Genomic DNA, 15,873 nt, shown 5'->3' with positions numbered 1-15,873 from the left:
TCCAAGGTTTCATAGAATGGTGGAAGTAGCTCTCAGCAGGTGGATGGGGAGCCAGAAGAAGCATGGAGTAAGAAGGTGGTTTTCCCCTGGGGTTGGGCTGCTCAGTGGCCAGATTCTCCTCCAATGGCCCCGGCCAAATTCCCCTTGGCGCCACGTCATTCGCCTGTCTGCTGGTGTCTGCTGGTGCCTGTTGGTGGCTCTTCTGCTCCTCTGCTCCTCTCCACGTCCAGCTGCCTGTGTGCTCTTCTGCTGGTGTGTTCCTCTTGACGTCCAGCCACTTGTGTCTGTGCCTGCTAGGGTCTTGGAGTTTTTAGACACACAGGATGTGGGAAGTGGCAGGCCAGGGTGGTCTTGGAAAATGCAACATTTGGGCATGAAAACAAGAGTGCCTGTCCTCACCTACATCCGTGGGCACAGGCCCAAGGGTGGAGCTGTCGCCAGGGACCCCACCATTCTCTTCTTAGCACTTCCCTGCCCCCTACCGTATTTCTCCCATGGTATTTCCAGCCCATTCCCCTATCTTAAACACCAACTTTTTCACCGATGAACCGTAACTTCTAGCATTTCTGTTATTTAACAACCATTCAATATTTTGGAAAGATAAAGACAGCTATAAATTAGAAACAGTCTATTCTGGAGCTTGGGCTTCTGTTTGTATGTTGCTGTTATTTTAGGGTTTTGTTCTTATTTTTTTCCAAATGTTAACTAAGCGAGTACTTTTTGAGTCACTCAGTGTGTATATTTCTGATTAGAATACTTAAAATATTAACTAATTGCTCCTATGATGTAAACTGAAATAAATACATATCTCTCTCTTATTTTGTTTGGGCTTTTTAACAAAATACCATGGACTGGGTGGTTATAAACAAGAGAGATTTCTCACAGTTGGAGGCCAGGAAGTCTAGGATGAAGGTTCTAGCTGACTTGGTGTCTGGTGAAGGCCCACTTCCTCATAGAGAGCTGTGTTCTTACTCAAGCTCATGTAGCACAGGGAGCTAGTTAGTCCTCTGTGGTCTCTTTTATAAGGTCATTAGTCCCAGTTATGAAGGCTCTGTCTTCATGACCTAATCACCTCCCAAAGGCCTTATCTCCTAATACTATCATTTTGGGGATTAGTATTTTAATATATAAATTTGAAGGGGACAGACATTCAAACCACAGCAATGTCATACTGTCAAGTTTGAGGTATTTTAAATTAAACATAAATTATAGACATTATAACAATTTTAAAGTAAATACATGAAATTTAAATAAATAAATATGTTACTACTACTACTAATAATAAATATGTTACTAATAACTAATAACATCCTCACTGACATCTGTTATTTTCTGACATTTCAATAGTAGTCATCCTGATTGGTGTGAGATGGTATCTCACTGTGGTTTGGAATTGCATTTCTCCAGTGATGTTGAGCATTTTTTCATGTGCTTGTTGTCCACATGTATGTCTTCTTTTGAAAAGTATCTGTTCATGTCCGTTGCCCACTTTTTAATGGGGTTGTTTGTTTTTCAGTAGTAAATTTGGGTCACAAGCTCCCTGAGCATCAGTTTCTTTATCTTTCATTGTTTTAAATGTCCAGTGAAAATAGACTGCAAAAGTATATTAGATAGGAAGTAACCTATCTTTTTGCTCTTTTTCTACTATTCTAAGGGAGCTAGCAGTCAGCTTGCTCCCATGAAATATCTGGCTACGTTCCAGATACACAAAGTAGATAACAGGAAAGTAAGCATTTATCACTTATTGAGTACCTGCGGTCTGCCATTCCCTCTGGTCCTCCTCACAAACCCACGATTACAGGCATTGCGGCACCCCTCTTTTCTAAGAACAATCCTCATCCTGTGCACCACGCCTGTCCTGAACCCATGTCAGAGGATCTCCTCTTTTAGGATAAAAATTGTTCAAGGTGGAGGGGAGAAACATTCTTTGGAAGTTTCAGAATTTAACTACAGTGACTAAAGGTGACTATTGCCTCCAGTCCATTGTGGCATGAGGCAAGGGCTGTATTAGTCACCATTAGCCAAGAGTAACAGAATTAGGAGGTAAACACTGTTCTTGTTTGTTTGTTGTTTGTTTGTTTGAGATGGAGTTTTCGCTCTTGTTACCCAGGCTGGAGGGCAGTGGCGCAATCTCGGCTCACTGCAACCCCCGCCTCAAGAGATTCTCCTGCCTCAGCCTCCTGAGTAGCTGGGATTACAGGCACCTACCACCATGCCCGGCTAATTTTTTTATTTTTAGTAGAGATGGGGTTTCACTATGTTGGCCAGGCTGGTCTTGAACTTCTGACCTCGTGATCTGCCCACCTTGGCATTCCAAAGTGCTGGGATTACAGGCGTGAGCCACCGTGCCTGGATGCTAATATAGTCCAACACAACTAGAGAGTGTTCTAGAACTCAATTCAAGCCATGATCCCACTTCTGTGGAGATACAATAAATGGCTTGCAAACCATTTTATGGTTTTTACTCGTTTAGGGAATGCTGATGTCTGGTGTTAATAGAATTTTTTAAAGTTTAAAAGGATGAGGTATCACTCAGTAATTTAATGTTACCTTTATCAAGTGAGATGCAGTTAAAATAGGCACACAAAAAAGGAAGAGAAAAAAATGAAGTGGGCTTTAAGAGTGGACATACCTGCTTATACTCTTACCTTGGTACTAAGGAATGACTTAGACCCTGGAAAGACAAGAACCCAATATTAATATATTTTGACTAGTTGTTTCCAGGCCCTGTATATAAAAAAAATAATTTTTTGTTTCCAGAAAACCCCTACATTAGATTTAATGTTTAACAATGTATGCATTATAGAGATTATGCAATTATCTGAGATTGGAGAAAGACTAAGTAAATCAAGGGAAACCCCAAGGAAGTGTATAAAAGGTTTTCATGCCAGAAAGTACCCCAAACTTTTTATAAAGTGTTTCTTTTCCTTCTAAGATTAGTTTCACATCTTCTTATCCTCAGGGTTACATAGGAGCAGAGAAAAATAAATCAAGAATATACAACTGGATTTGGCTTCCACAGATGCACCATCTGTCTCTCCCCGTTATTTCCATTTTTGGCAGCATTGCGAAACCCAGCTTCCTGGAGTAGTGCCACCAGAGCAGACTGTGCAGGTGTGGGCTCCCAGCATAGACACGTCCTCAGATGTTAGAGGAGAGCACCCACTCAGCAATCTCTTGCTCCATTTGGCCAACTTCAGAAGTGACAATTCAAGGACTGCCTCTCAGCAGGTTTGAAATCATGGGGAATACTGTATTCCTTGTACTAGTTTTCCCAGTGATGTCAATAGGATTATATATCTCCAATAAATGAATGATTTAGAACTGTAAAAACTGAAGGATTCCGATTACTCACAGGGAGAATGAAATAAGCTGAGAACGCCCCAGCAGCTTGTCATCCACTGCAGACCCCTCGATGATGTCACAGAAACAACAGTGGAAAGAGTGTCTGTGCCTTAACCGGGAGGTCACCTTAGCTTAGAATGGAAGTCAGCGTTCGACTTGACATTTCATTAAAAGTGTTTTTGTTTTTGTTGTTGTTGTTGTTTTTCCTGATGATTCATTGGGATGTAAAATGCAATTGAAAAGATACGAATAAAACAGGCAGGATTTTTTTTTCCCCATCTGCCTCTTAGGAAAAGTAACCCTTTTGATAGCCCAGTTCCTTTGCTGTTTGTTTTTGCTACTGTTTTTATTGGTGGTCATGGACCAGGCATCAGGACTTGGGTTGAGAGTCAGGAAACTGTAGTTCCTGCCCTGGCTCTGCCCTGGGCTCACAGCAACTTACTCATATTTCACTGCAGGACTTTTCTCTCTAGCAGATGAAACTGCCCCCGCCTCCCAGAAAAGTTCTGGGAATTCATGAAATCTTTGATGTACTCTTCAGAGAACTCAGGTTTCTACTAGAAAGATAAAATGTATTCCATTTGGAGAAAATAAGAAGAAGGCAACAGATTTTAACTTGGAAAACATATTAAAAGGCAGACAGAGCAATAGAAAAGCATGAGCCCTCTACTATGTTCATCTTCATTCCTGAATGAAACAAAGAATTGCTTGATGTGCTTTAATCCAATGCCTCTAACCTAAAGTCTTTCTCATATTTCACTTGCATAATACACTATAAAGCATTTATATTAAAAGCAATGCCAAGTTATTGTTTGATTTTTTCCTTCCTCCCTCACACAAAAAATAAAACATCAGCATTCATTTATAGATCCATATTTAATCAGACACTTCCAATACTTATTTGATAATTCTCTGAAAAATGCCATAACTTCCCACTCTGAGATCACATTCATATTTAAAAATCATTCCATTACAAAATGGAAGCTCTTTCCTCTATGTCATTTTTTATCAAATGGGGCCCATTAGATTTTATTTACTGAGATGGTTTACTTATTTCCTGGAATCTGATTTTATAATTCTTCCCCCTCTGGACCTCATGAAAATGAAACTTTTGACCTTCCTTCCCTAAAGCTTTTTAGGATGGGGGACCAACTGTGTGTGATGGATGGTTTAGATGACAGTGAATCTCAAAAGCTTACATACAGGGTGGTCTAGGTAAATTTGGAAATTCCATTCACCTCTAGAATTCAAATACATCAAGCTATGGGTATGTGAGTGTGTACCTTTGTGTGTGAATGTTTAGGGAGTTTTAAGTTAATATAATTCCATCCTGCTATTTGAAAATAATTTAGTCCAATATAAACTGTGAGTTGACCCAGACTGTATTGCCCTAAAAGAAAAATTAGAACCAAGCAAGTTTCCCATTTAATTCAACCCTCTAAGATGCATTGACAAACAAAACAAACTTCAAAGCAAACTACCACAGCTTTCTCTCAACTTTGCCAACTCACTTTACAGGCAGCTGAGTACTTTGAACTTTTAATTTCATTTCCAAAGCTTAATTGGGAGCAACTAAACCATTCCCAATTTAATATCACCAGCCTATAAATTGCAGCTGAATACAGTGATTGGATCACAAAAATGATGAAGCATTGCTCTTTGAAGTTTGGCTGTTAATGCTTCTCAATCTGTAAGACTTCAAAGGGGCAAGTTGGGCCCCTCCATCACCTTTGCTTACCTGGCCAGTTCTCACCACAACTTCATAAACAGCCTAGAGGCACTTGTGTTCTGCTAATGAGAGCACATCCATGTTTTAAACAGTAAACTTTAAACTTAGTTTCCTACCTGCAAATCATTTAAAAGAAACCTAAATTTATGTTCTTAAAAATGAATTTGCTCCCTTTCTATTCTTTTATCTGTGTCCATCTAATTTGCTTGAAGATATTAGTTATCTTGCTTCTGAAATATTAAGATTTGTTTCTATTCAACATAAAGTTCCATGATTTTAAAAAATCCTTTAAAGTTTTACTATTATTCCTACACTTAGATACTGCACTATTACTTTCTCCCATACGTCTACTGCCTCGCTATCTCACACACACAAACCTGGGACTTTGCCTCTCTATTTTTATTTACCTTTTCATTCTTGAAGCTTCTGCAAATATTTAAAGTGTCTGGTTATACAACAAGGTCACTGATTTGTTATTAACAGTTCAATGATGGAAGAGTGTTAACAATTATTCATCACAAGCTTTTAACTATCCAGAGATTCTCCATTTAAGGTCTAATATCAGAATAAGGATTTAATTGTTAGATGTATTTAAGGGAACCTTGAACCTGAGAAGAAACTCCTGGCAGTTAGGTAGGATAACTATCCAAGTGCCTGACCTGGACACTTTATAAACTAGTCTGTCCAAGAGGGTTTAGAGGAAACTGTCTGGAAGTAGTGGAATGAACTGAAGTCCCACAGCATCCTTTGATTCTACATTAAGCAGGGCCCAGACCACACACAGGCACTTTTTATAATGTTGCTCCCTTGAATATCTGCTTTCTTTATGGAGCAGATGGGAAGACAGAAAAAGCACTTTTTATCATAACAGAGTCTTACAAATGAAGATGATTTTACAGTACAGATAAAATTGCTACAATAAAAGATAAAATATTTATATTTATCAACTGGACATGGAATTTAGTCCCAAGTTAAGAATAAAGAGTAAGAAAGGTGTACGGTTTCTGCCTTGTTTGGTTTGAGAATGTTTATCTTCTCCTAAGCTACTCTACCATAAGTTGTTTTTGTTGTCTTGGTGGATGTTGGTAGCATGTTGCTTATGTTTAGTCTGTACCATTACATATTTTGTGGTCTGGTTTTGACTCAGAAGGATAATTCCAAATAAGGAATCATAAGAATTTATAAGCTCAGCACTGTGGGACTAACATATGTTATGTTCAAGCAAAGGGAATTTCCTTAAAATGATGAACTCATGGCTGTGACATTTCTGTGACCCAAGAATGATTTGTAAATAGGTCTAGGAAAGAATATAATAAGTTTCCTTCCATTTCCTTGTAAGGGCCAAGAAGCTGATGATGTCTTACTAAAAGCCTGTTTTGCAAGTTTGTGAAATTTTAAGGAAGATTTTTCTGAGCACACAGGTACTCATGAGAAATTAGCAAGTATAGTCTAGACCAAAGATAAAGAGCACTTATATCATGGTAACCTGAAACATCTTCATGTTCAAACAATACTTTTATTTAATATGTTCATTATGAAGACAGAAATTGAGAAAAGTAAACTTGCCCTAGGTGATTCCATACCCCTTTTCAAAAACCCTTTTTTCAGAAGTGTTCATTCAGTTTTTCCTCTTCCAGGACAATCCCACTGTACTCCAACTTCCCAAGTTTACAATAAGTGAAATTTCTTTTTTGCCCTTCTGTTTCTGTGCTATAAGTATTTGAAGTTGTCTGAGAGTTAATAGGTTCAACAAGATGTAACCTACATTAGCATTAACTGAGTATATAGAAATATTTCATTAATAAAAATAAAAACATTATTTATTGAGTCCCTATTATATAACAGCATTCTGCTAGATACTTCATAGACATTATTTCAATCCACTCAAAATATGTCTGCAAGATATTTTTGTCTGCATTTTACATAAGAGAAAACTGAAGCTCAGAATTATTCAGCAAATCCTGCAACAGAAGAATTAAAGTTTACATGACTAACAATGGACAGAGGAGGGAATCAAACCAAGGTTCACTAACTCTAAGGTTTATGGGATTTCCATTATACTCCACTTCCGCTCATGATTTTCCTGCACTGTATAACAATGTTAAATCCCCAAACAAAACCTTGACAAACATTTTTTTTTCCTGAGCCATTATTCTATTTCATTTTCCCTTTCTCTTTCTAATAGTCAATTTTTTAAATACTGTTATTTTACTAACTGCCTCTCCTTCCTTACCTGGTTTTACTCCTTACTTCAGCTCAATTTGGTTTGCACCACAAATCCTATACTAAAAGTTCTCTTGCTAATGTTATTAAAAACTTACTCATTAATTATCTAGTGGCTGCTTCTCACATGTCATCTAACTGAGCTTATCTCTAGCATTTAGCACTGTTGACAATTTTCCATTCATGAAGACCTTTCTCGAATTCCAAAACATTCTCCTGCTATTTCTTCTACTTTTAAAACTCAGTCTATTACATTATCTTAATCTTGAGCCAACTTCCTCTGGATGTTTTACAAACTTCCTCAGTGATCTCATCAACTGCTTTTAACTACCAAATTAATATTTCAATCTAAATTTCTAATCTAGTACTCCATGCCAGTTTCACCCCCACATATAAAAATGCCTTCTTGAATTGACCACTTATTTTTCCTTAATATCCTCAAAATCAACATGTTTGAAAAGAACTCATCATTACTGCTCTTCTAATTCATCCATCCTAAATTATCTATTTTAATAAATGAGTTCAAATATATTTTGGAAACCCAGTCCAAAAATCCCCTCACTATCATGGACTTCTCATAATCTATATATCCAATATCAATATTTCATATATCCAATCAATGGTTTTACCAGTTTACAATTTCTTGAGTCTATCATTTCCTTTTCATTTGAACTTCTTTTTCTTGACTTCAACTCTAATTTCACATACAACAATTTTTTTACTGGTATCTCTGCTTCTAGACTTGCCATTCTCTCATTGCATTCTGCACAATGAAGCCTAACTCCTGTGTTTAAAGTTACTCAATCGCTTTTTACTTTCTTTGTGGTAAAATTCAAAATTTTTAGAAAGACAGTTATGGCCCCACATGATCTAGCCTAGGGCTTAGCAAACATTTTCTGTAAGAAGCCAAATACAAAATATTTCAGGCCTTGCAACCACAAGGTCTCTGATATAGTTACTCAACTCTGCTATTGGGCTAAAGCAGCTGTGGACCTATGTAAATAAATGGGCATGGCTGTGTTTCAATAACATTTTATTTACAAAAATAGATGTCATACCACATTTGGCTGGAAGGCTGTCATTGGCCAACCCCTGATCTAGCTAGCACCCACCTACTTCTTCAGCTTAACTTTCCTCATTCCCTACCTCTCATGTTGTGCTCCAACCAACATCAACTATTTTGAGTTTCTTGACTTGTCATGCTTTTTTTTTTTTTTTTTTTTTTTGAGACGGAGTCTTGCTCTGTTGCCAGGCTAGAGTGCAATGGCGCAATCTTGGCTCACTGCAGCCTCTGCCTCCTGGGTTCAGGTGATTCTCATGCCTCAGCCTCCCGAGTAGCTGGGATTACAGTTGTGTCTCTAAGTCTTTACACCTGCTGTTGCTTCCTTCCTTCTAGAGGAATATTCTTCTAAACTTTCTTTTCAAGCATAATTTCTATTTACCTCTCAAAATTCAGCTAAAATCTGACATCTCCAGGAGGGTTTCCTCAATTTTTCACATGCCAGCTTCCATATGTTACCATATAGTTTTTCACACACTGATACAATGTTCATTTTAGCTGTATTTCCCACTACCTTATTGTGATGTCACTAATGGCAAGTACTATGGCTTTTATCTTATTATTTTCCAAGATCTCTGGACACTCTTTTGTATGGTAGATGTTATAAATTCATGTTAGTAAATGAATTAGAACACACGAATGTGTATTTTGAAATTCATTCATGATCAGGCCAGATGAGGAGAGAGAATTTTTAGTGATTGCTTAGAAAGGAAAGCTATTTGGGACAGAAGACACCTGTCAGAGAATTTCAAATCTCTCCATGTAGGCCACTATCAATTTCAACAACCTAAGACCTCATAAGCAAATGGCTGCCATCCTTAACTGTTTCATTGATATATACTTCCCAGAAAAAAAACCAAAGATGTGACCTCGGCTACAGAAAATAAATTGCATGTTCCACATTTGGGAGACTATTCAAGGATCAAGATTCTATTTCTAAAGATACCTGGATCTGTAGACAAAAATCATCTCTGTAACAGAGGGATTAATTTTTAGAACCTCTGGCATCTGAAAACATAAAAGGAAAAAAAAATTTAACCAGGTATATTAAAGAAAAACATGTAAAGTAGAAAAACAGAAGCAAGGATGAGCAAGCCTGTGTGAAATACTTTGATCAAGAAAACAGTTTTACACAAATTATTTTCATTAATACATGTATCCGTATTTAGGAAGACAGTGAATCTACTTTGGTTCCAAATGAAATTATTTTAGAAATTCTATTGTCACAGTTAGGCAGCTCTGATGTACATGTGGTACTCTTGCCCTACTATTAAGAATAAAATACTTATGTTGTCACTTGCCGCTGCAGTCCATATACATCCACACACATACATACATTATGTATGTGCACATATATGTATATATGTGTGTGTGTGTGTCTGTATGTATGCGTACTTCCTTAAAAGCAATGTGTGTGTGGGTATACACACATGCTCATTTATCTTCTATTTCCTGGAAGAAAAGGCAGAAAATGTTAAGTAATTTATACATGGTAACATAGTTCACAAATGGTGTTGTGTATAAAGTCAGTCCAGTGCAAAACCAGTGCTCTGAATGCATATACACAGCACTTCCACACTGTTATTGATAGATGAGTCATAAAACATGTTGCTGATTAAAAAATAAGCTTATGAAATAAAAGTCAGCTGAGTTAGGACTGCAGTGGCAACTGATAACATAAATATTTTATTCTTAACCGTAGAGCAAGAGTAGCACATGTACATCAGGGCTATGTGTCTGCAACAATAGCATTTCCAAAATAACTTCATTTGGAACCAAGTAGAGTCACTGTCTTCTTAAATACATATATGTATGTATGTATGTGTGTGTGTGTGTGTGTGTGTGTGTGTAGGAATATGTGTGTGTATGTATGTGCACTTCCTTAAAAGCAGCATATATATATATGTGTGTGTATATATATATATATATATGCACATAAATTATATATATGCAAATGTGTATAATTATAAAGTCACATTATATTTTGGGGTCACATTACCTTATATAGTAGAATGAAATCATTTGACTAGCAAAAATTAATGTCATATTCTCCCCCAATTAAAATAATGACAATAATAATAATAACAATAAAAACAAAAGCTCATAGAGAACTTACTATGTAGCAAACACTCTTAATACTTTATAAGCATTCATTCATTTAAAATTCATTCAATGACTTGTAGCAATCTATGGAGGTAGTTAATATTATCATTCCCAGATCAAGACACTGAATTTTAGAAAATTTATACAACTTGCCCAGGGTCACACAGTGGCAAGGCTGGGATTCAAACTCAAGCAGTCTGGCTTCTGAGCACGTGTACTTAAATACCTCACTCTACTGACTCTCAAGTTGTAAGTGGAATGTCTATTCTGGGGTGTGAAAGCTACTTTTCATTTTTATGGGCCCTATCCACATTCAAATAATGAAGAGAACAAGAATGGATTGCCAGTTTATGATAGATGGTTGTTATTTTACTGTCAGTGAACCAAATTCCAATTCTAACACTAGAAGCCACTGGCCTGTTTCTAATAAAAACAGAATACAAAATTAAGCATAAATCACCAAAACTTTTATAAAGCACTTCCTTAAAATCAGCATCTAAAGGAATATAGCTTCCATATTTGCAAGAGACAATAAAAGAAGTTAAATATATACACAGATCTCCTTGGTGTACAATTCTAAAACCTGATAAAATGTCTATGGTGCCAAGCGATCTGTGAGAAATTGAAAAACAATAATTACCTTATCTGTTTGCAGTCAGGAAAAATGAAAGTACTGTTAAATGGTGCACAAAAGAGATTAGTATGTTCATTGAGAATATTCTAAATTAAATAGAAAGGTAATACACCCTTTTCTGCATTAGCATATAAACAGCTCCTTGAGGAAAATTGAAAAGCTGTAGTTTGTGCGGCTGGAATGAATTTTATGGTGGTCATTGGGGCTGTTCACGCAAGCACCTGTTAGGGCTGCAATTCTTATTTTTGAACATAGGGGATGCCATGTGACACATGTCACTTCGGGGCACAAGTTAAAGAGCCCTTGTGCTTTGGACCACATTTCCTTCCTTTGCTGCCCTGATCACAGACACACACATCAAGAGGCTGTCTTTGTCAGACTGAGATGCTTCATGAATATAATGAGCAAAGAATTGGGGACAACCAGCACCACATGGATGAGAAATACATGTTTGCTGTGTTCAGTTTAGGATTTTCTTGGTGGTGATGTTACTCCAACCTAATCTAAGCATTCAATCAAATGCAAATTGACCTCCACAAATTCAGGTTTGCGAAAAAAAAAAAAAAAAAGACATTCTTTTATTTTCTTTAACAGAACTGGAATTTAACTGAAAGCTTCCATTTTATTGGGCTGGCCGTAAATGTTATTCTATACTGGAGTTCATTTCGCATTCCCTAAATTTTACCAACATTCTAATATTTCATGGCAGTAAAATGGCAGGGAATTTCTTTTGGTCTTCTCTTCCCATTGGACATCCCTAGAGAAAACCATCCAGGCCTATATGATATTCAAATACGTATAGGATATTCAAGTGTCATATGGGTATTTAAATAAAGAAGACTTGACTATTTTAAGGAAGCCAGTTCGTGCCCAATAATCTTGTTGAATGACAGTCAACCTTCTCCTTTCTAGGTACACCATGCAGAGAGTGATCTTCTGACAGTCTCACCTTCACCTCAGGTCTTAACAATTTTCACTTGTAACACCTTGAAGGGGGGAAGGATCCAAGTGTTATGGGACTTGAACTTAAATAGTTTGGGAAGATCTCTTTGAAAAACTAAAATATATACATATCAATTATTCATCTTCATCTGGGTGGGAGTTGCCATGAATATGTATTGGTAATAATTTGCTTAGGATTTGTGTACCTTACAATGTCAATGTTATATAGAATAAAACGTTTAGGGAAAAAATATGATTTTGAAATTAAGTTCAGGACTTGGAAGACTCTCTTCCACCTAAGAGCCAAAGAGTACGTTTCACAAGCTTCAAGGTAAAGTAGTGCCTCTAACCTTGAAGCCCCATTCTGACCTCTGCAGCCCTCCAAGCCTGGGTAGATTCTGTTTCTCTTAACCCAGGATAATCCTCTCCAGGAGTAGGGAAATTCAATAACAAATGTAAGGAAGGGGCCTATCTTTAATTTCCCCTGAGGGAAGGGAGTATATGTTCTAACTATTGGAAATGGAGGGAGAGCGATTATACCAAGAACCGTCAGAATTAATGTCCCAGTAAATTACCCTGCCACATATAAATGTAAAGAGAAAGCTACACACGTTTTATAGAGTTTCATTGCAAATGATCTTGCATGTTATTCACTTAAAATATCACATGCATCTTTTTTAAAATAAAAGATTATTCCGCCTTTCAAAATAAGGAATCCTGTCATTTGAACAACATAGATGAACGTGGAGGACATTATTCTAAGTGAAATAAGCCAGGCAGAGAAAGACAAATACTATGTGGTCTTACTTATATATGGAATCGGAAAAAAGTCAAACTCATAGACGCAAAGAGTAGAATGCTGGTTGCCAGGGGCTGGGGAGCTGGGGAAATGAGATGTTGATCAAAGGGTACAAAGTTTAGTGAGAAAGAATGAATAAGTTCTGGAGATCTAATGTATAGCAAGGTGACCATAGTTAATAGTGTCACCACACAGACACACACACACAAGCACATGCACACACACACACATCCCTATGTGGGGTAATGGATGTGTTAATTAAGTTGATTTAGTAATTATTTTACAACATGTATATATATATATATATCAACACATCGCATTGTGCACTGTAAACATGTATAATTATTTGCCAATTATACCTCAATAAAGCTGAAAAATAATTACACTGTTATCTAGCATACATGTCAATACTGGCCCACACCACCTGGAAATGTCTATAATCATAAGAGAAATTGAGAAATGCAGGGTCACGTTATATACGTTTTTATTTATCTTACGGTACTTGAATGTAAAGAAACATAATCCAAACAAAAGGTGGCCTATTAGATAAAAATATTTTCTGTCTTAAATCTGAATAATAAAGAAGGCTTATTTTACTATAAATGAAAGTTAAGGGTCCAAAAGACAGTAAAATATTTGTCACGTCATCTAGACAATGATCATTGCTAAGGGTTCTGAAACAATTAGAAGTCCTCTATTGTTTGATTTTGAATGGTCTATAAACACTGGATCCTCATTCATTCTTCAACTCATTCCCAAAACTGAATGATGAATTATATTTTTTACATAAAATTTCCTAGAGAGGAGTGAAAAAGCAAGCCTTCCATGGTCTCCCCTCATAGGCACCTAATATCAGATCAATAAGTTACATATTTTTGAGACAATTCTGCTGTAATAATTAGTGGCCCTACCTACCTGGATTGGTCATGCCAATTCTTTTATGTATTTTGTTTGTTTAATGTGGCTCTGACAAAACTTCCTATCTTAAAGAATTCTGTCCTTTGTTAATAAACTTGATTGCATTACCTGGCACATGCTTCCTGTATTATATTAAATCTATGATCCATCTTTTACTTCCTACACATATGATTAGTTCTATTACCCTCATAATAAGAATGTGTAACACTGTAGACCTTCCCATGTGAACATGTTTTGTGCATACAAATAATTTTTCCAGTTCCGAAACGTTTTAAGAAGTTAAATTTCACCAAAAAACCTAAAATTTAAAGTAGGAAATTAAATTGATGTTGCCTAAATATGGATTGATTTCTCATAGAAAACCACTTCAAAAAGTTTGCTTTCTTAAAATGCTTTGAATGCTAGTAAAATATTTGGATTCAGATAGTAATTTTTTCACAGATGATTCACATAAATAGTAGCTTTAGAAGAGTATATAAATTAACACCAAAACTGCAAATTGATTATAATTGAATGTCATTATTTAGTGAGACATTGAAACTTACATATGAGATCATTAGAACCACACTTTTTAGAAGCTTTTCATAAATATTTATATATAAAGATGTAGCTATGATTTTTAGTGCCCTAGCAAAAAGGATTGCTTCATTTTCAAATGCCATATTATTTGAGAAAGTGAGAGCTGCTTTTACATGTTGGCTACAAGTTATGGATCTCTCTGTCTCTCCTCTCTCTGTCTCTCTCTTTCTCTGTCCTATTCCCTAATAAACCAGTAAAAGAACACTAAACAAAAACACCTGGTTGGATTACATGACATCACCGGTTCACTAGGAGAGTTCAAAGCTCTTTGTAAATATTTTGCTGCCTTACTAGTAATCAAACTACTTCCTGAGTGCATTGCTCACCTATGAAAGTTAATTAACTATTTCAATGCATTGGGTACCATTTATTTATTGCATGACAACTATGACTTTAGAAGTTGTATAAGCCATGCTATGAAAATAAATACAGTCCAGGAACTCAGAACCTAAATGAATTTTGTAGCCTAATATTTCAGTTTAAGTAAATAAAAAAATCTTTCGGGCTATGAATAACGCTATCACATATATTATCTCAATATGTAATATCTGTATAGAAGTCTTTAGAATTTTACCAAGATGATGACGTTTTAAAGTTATATGGCAATATATAATTTTTTCTCCATAAATAGACTTTTAAATTAAAATATTAATATTGCTAGGAGATCAAGAAAGAAAAAATGTAGACAGTTAAGAAAATATACCCAGAGAGAAAGTGTAAAATTCAATAATTAATTCTATTTATTCAATTCAATTTATTTAATGTAAAAATAACAGTAAATTTTTATTATTTGTTAAGAAAAGTAATTTAAAAACTAATATCTACTTATTATTTAAAATAAAATCAATCTATTTTAAGGTTATCTTCATTATAAAATGGTTATAGGCATATTACTTTAAAAAACAATATCTAAAGGTGGAGTCATATATGAATTGTATCTACGTAACATTTAAAAGAAAAATAGTACCTAGATAGAGAGTAAAATACATAATGCTCCATAAATTCTTCTTCCCCCATCAATTTTTCAAAGTAGCCTGTTAAGTGTTGCAAGGATATCATTCCAAATATGTTCTTCATTAACTCAACATAGGCATTTAAGCTATTAAATAAGATTATGCTTTTTAAAAAAGTCATGAGTTTATACCATATATGATATTCTGACAGTAGTATATTTTTACTTGGTAAAATATTGTAGACATTTTTCAATATTAATTTATAATATTCTACCTCATCTTTTATAAGGACCACCTGGTGATTCATTATATGAATATAACATTTATTTAAACAGTCTCCTAGAAATTATGATCTAGATCATTTCCATGTTTTTTTCTTCTTATAAAATTAGCAATGATGGAATATTTATTTATGTGAATATGACCATAAAAATTTTTTAACGAAATTAATACATCAAATTGTTTGAACATTTTAAATATTTATAATTATTGATCAATAAATTACCTTCCCATGAACACTATATAGTTCTGATTTGTCCAAATATTTCTAATACCAAGTCTTATCAATTTGTGTATTCTCTGCAGATT

The 15,873-nt window shown here is 35.5% G+C and overlaps 1 annotated feature.

The window, feature by feature from the left end:
• Window positions 950–1,049: a silencer, noted in NCBI's record as "silent region_15771". NCBI's record gives its function as "represses an Ori minimal core promoter by ATAC-STARR-seq in GM12878 lymphoblastoid cells {active_cell/tissue: GM12878}" and the evidence as "EXISTENCE:reporter gene assay evidence [ECO:0000049][PMID:35858748]".

The sequence above is a fragment of the Homo sapiens genome, chromosome 4 (genome assembly GCF_000001405.40).
Source record: "Homo sapiens chromosome 4, GRCh38.p14 Primary Assembly".
Classification (NCBI taxonomy): Eukaryota; Metazoa; Chordata; class Mammalia; order Primates; family Hominidae; genus Homo; species Homo sapiens.
The sequence above is the reverse complement of the archived record's forward strand: the minus strand, read 5'-3'. Positions and strand labels throughout refer to the sequence as shown.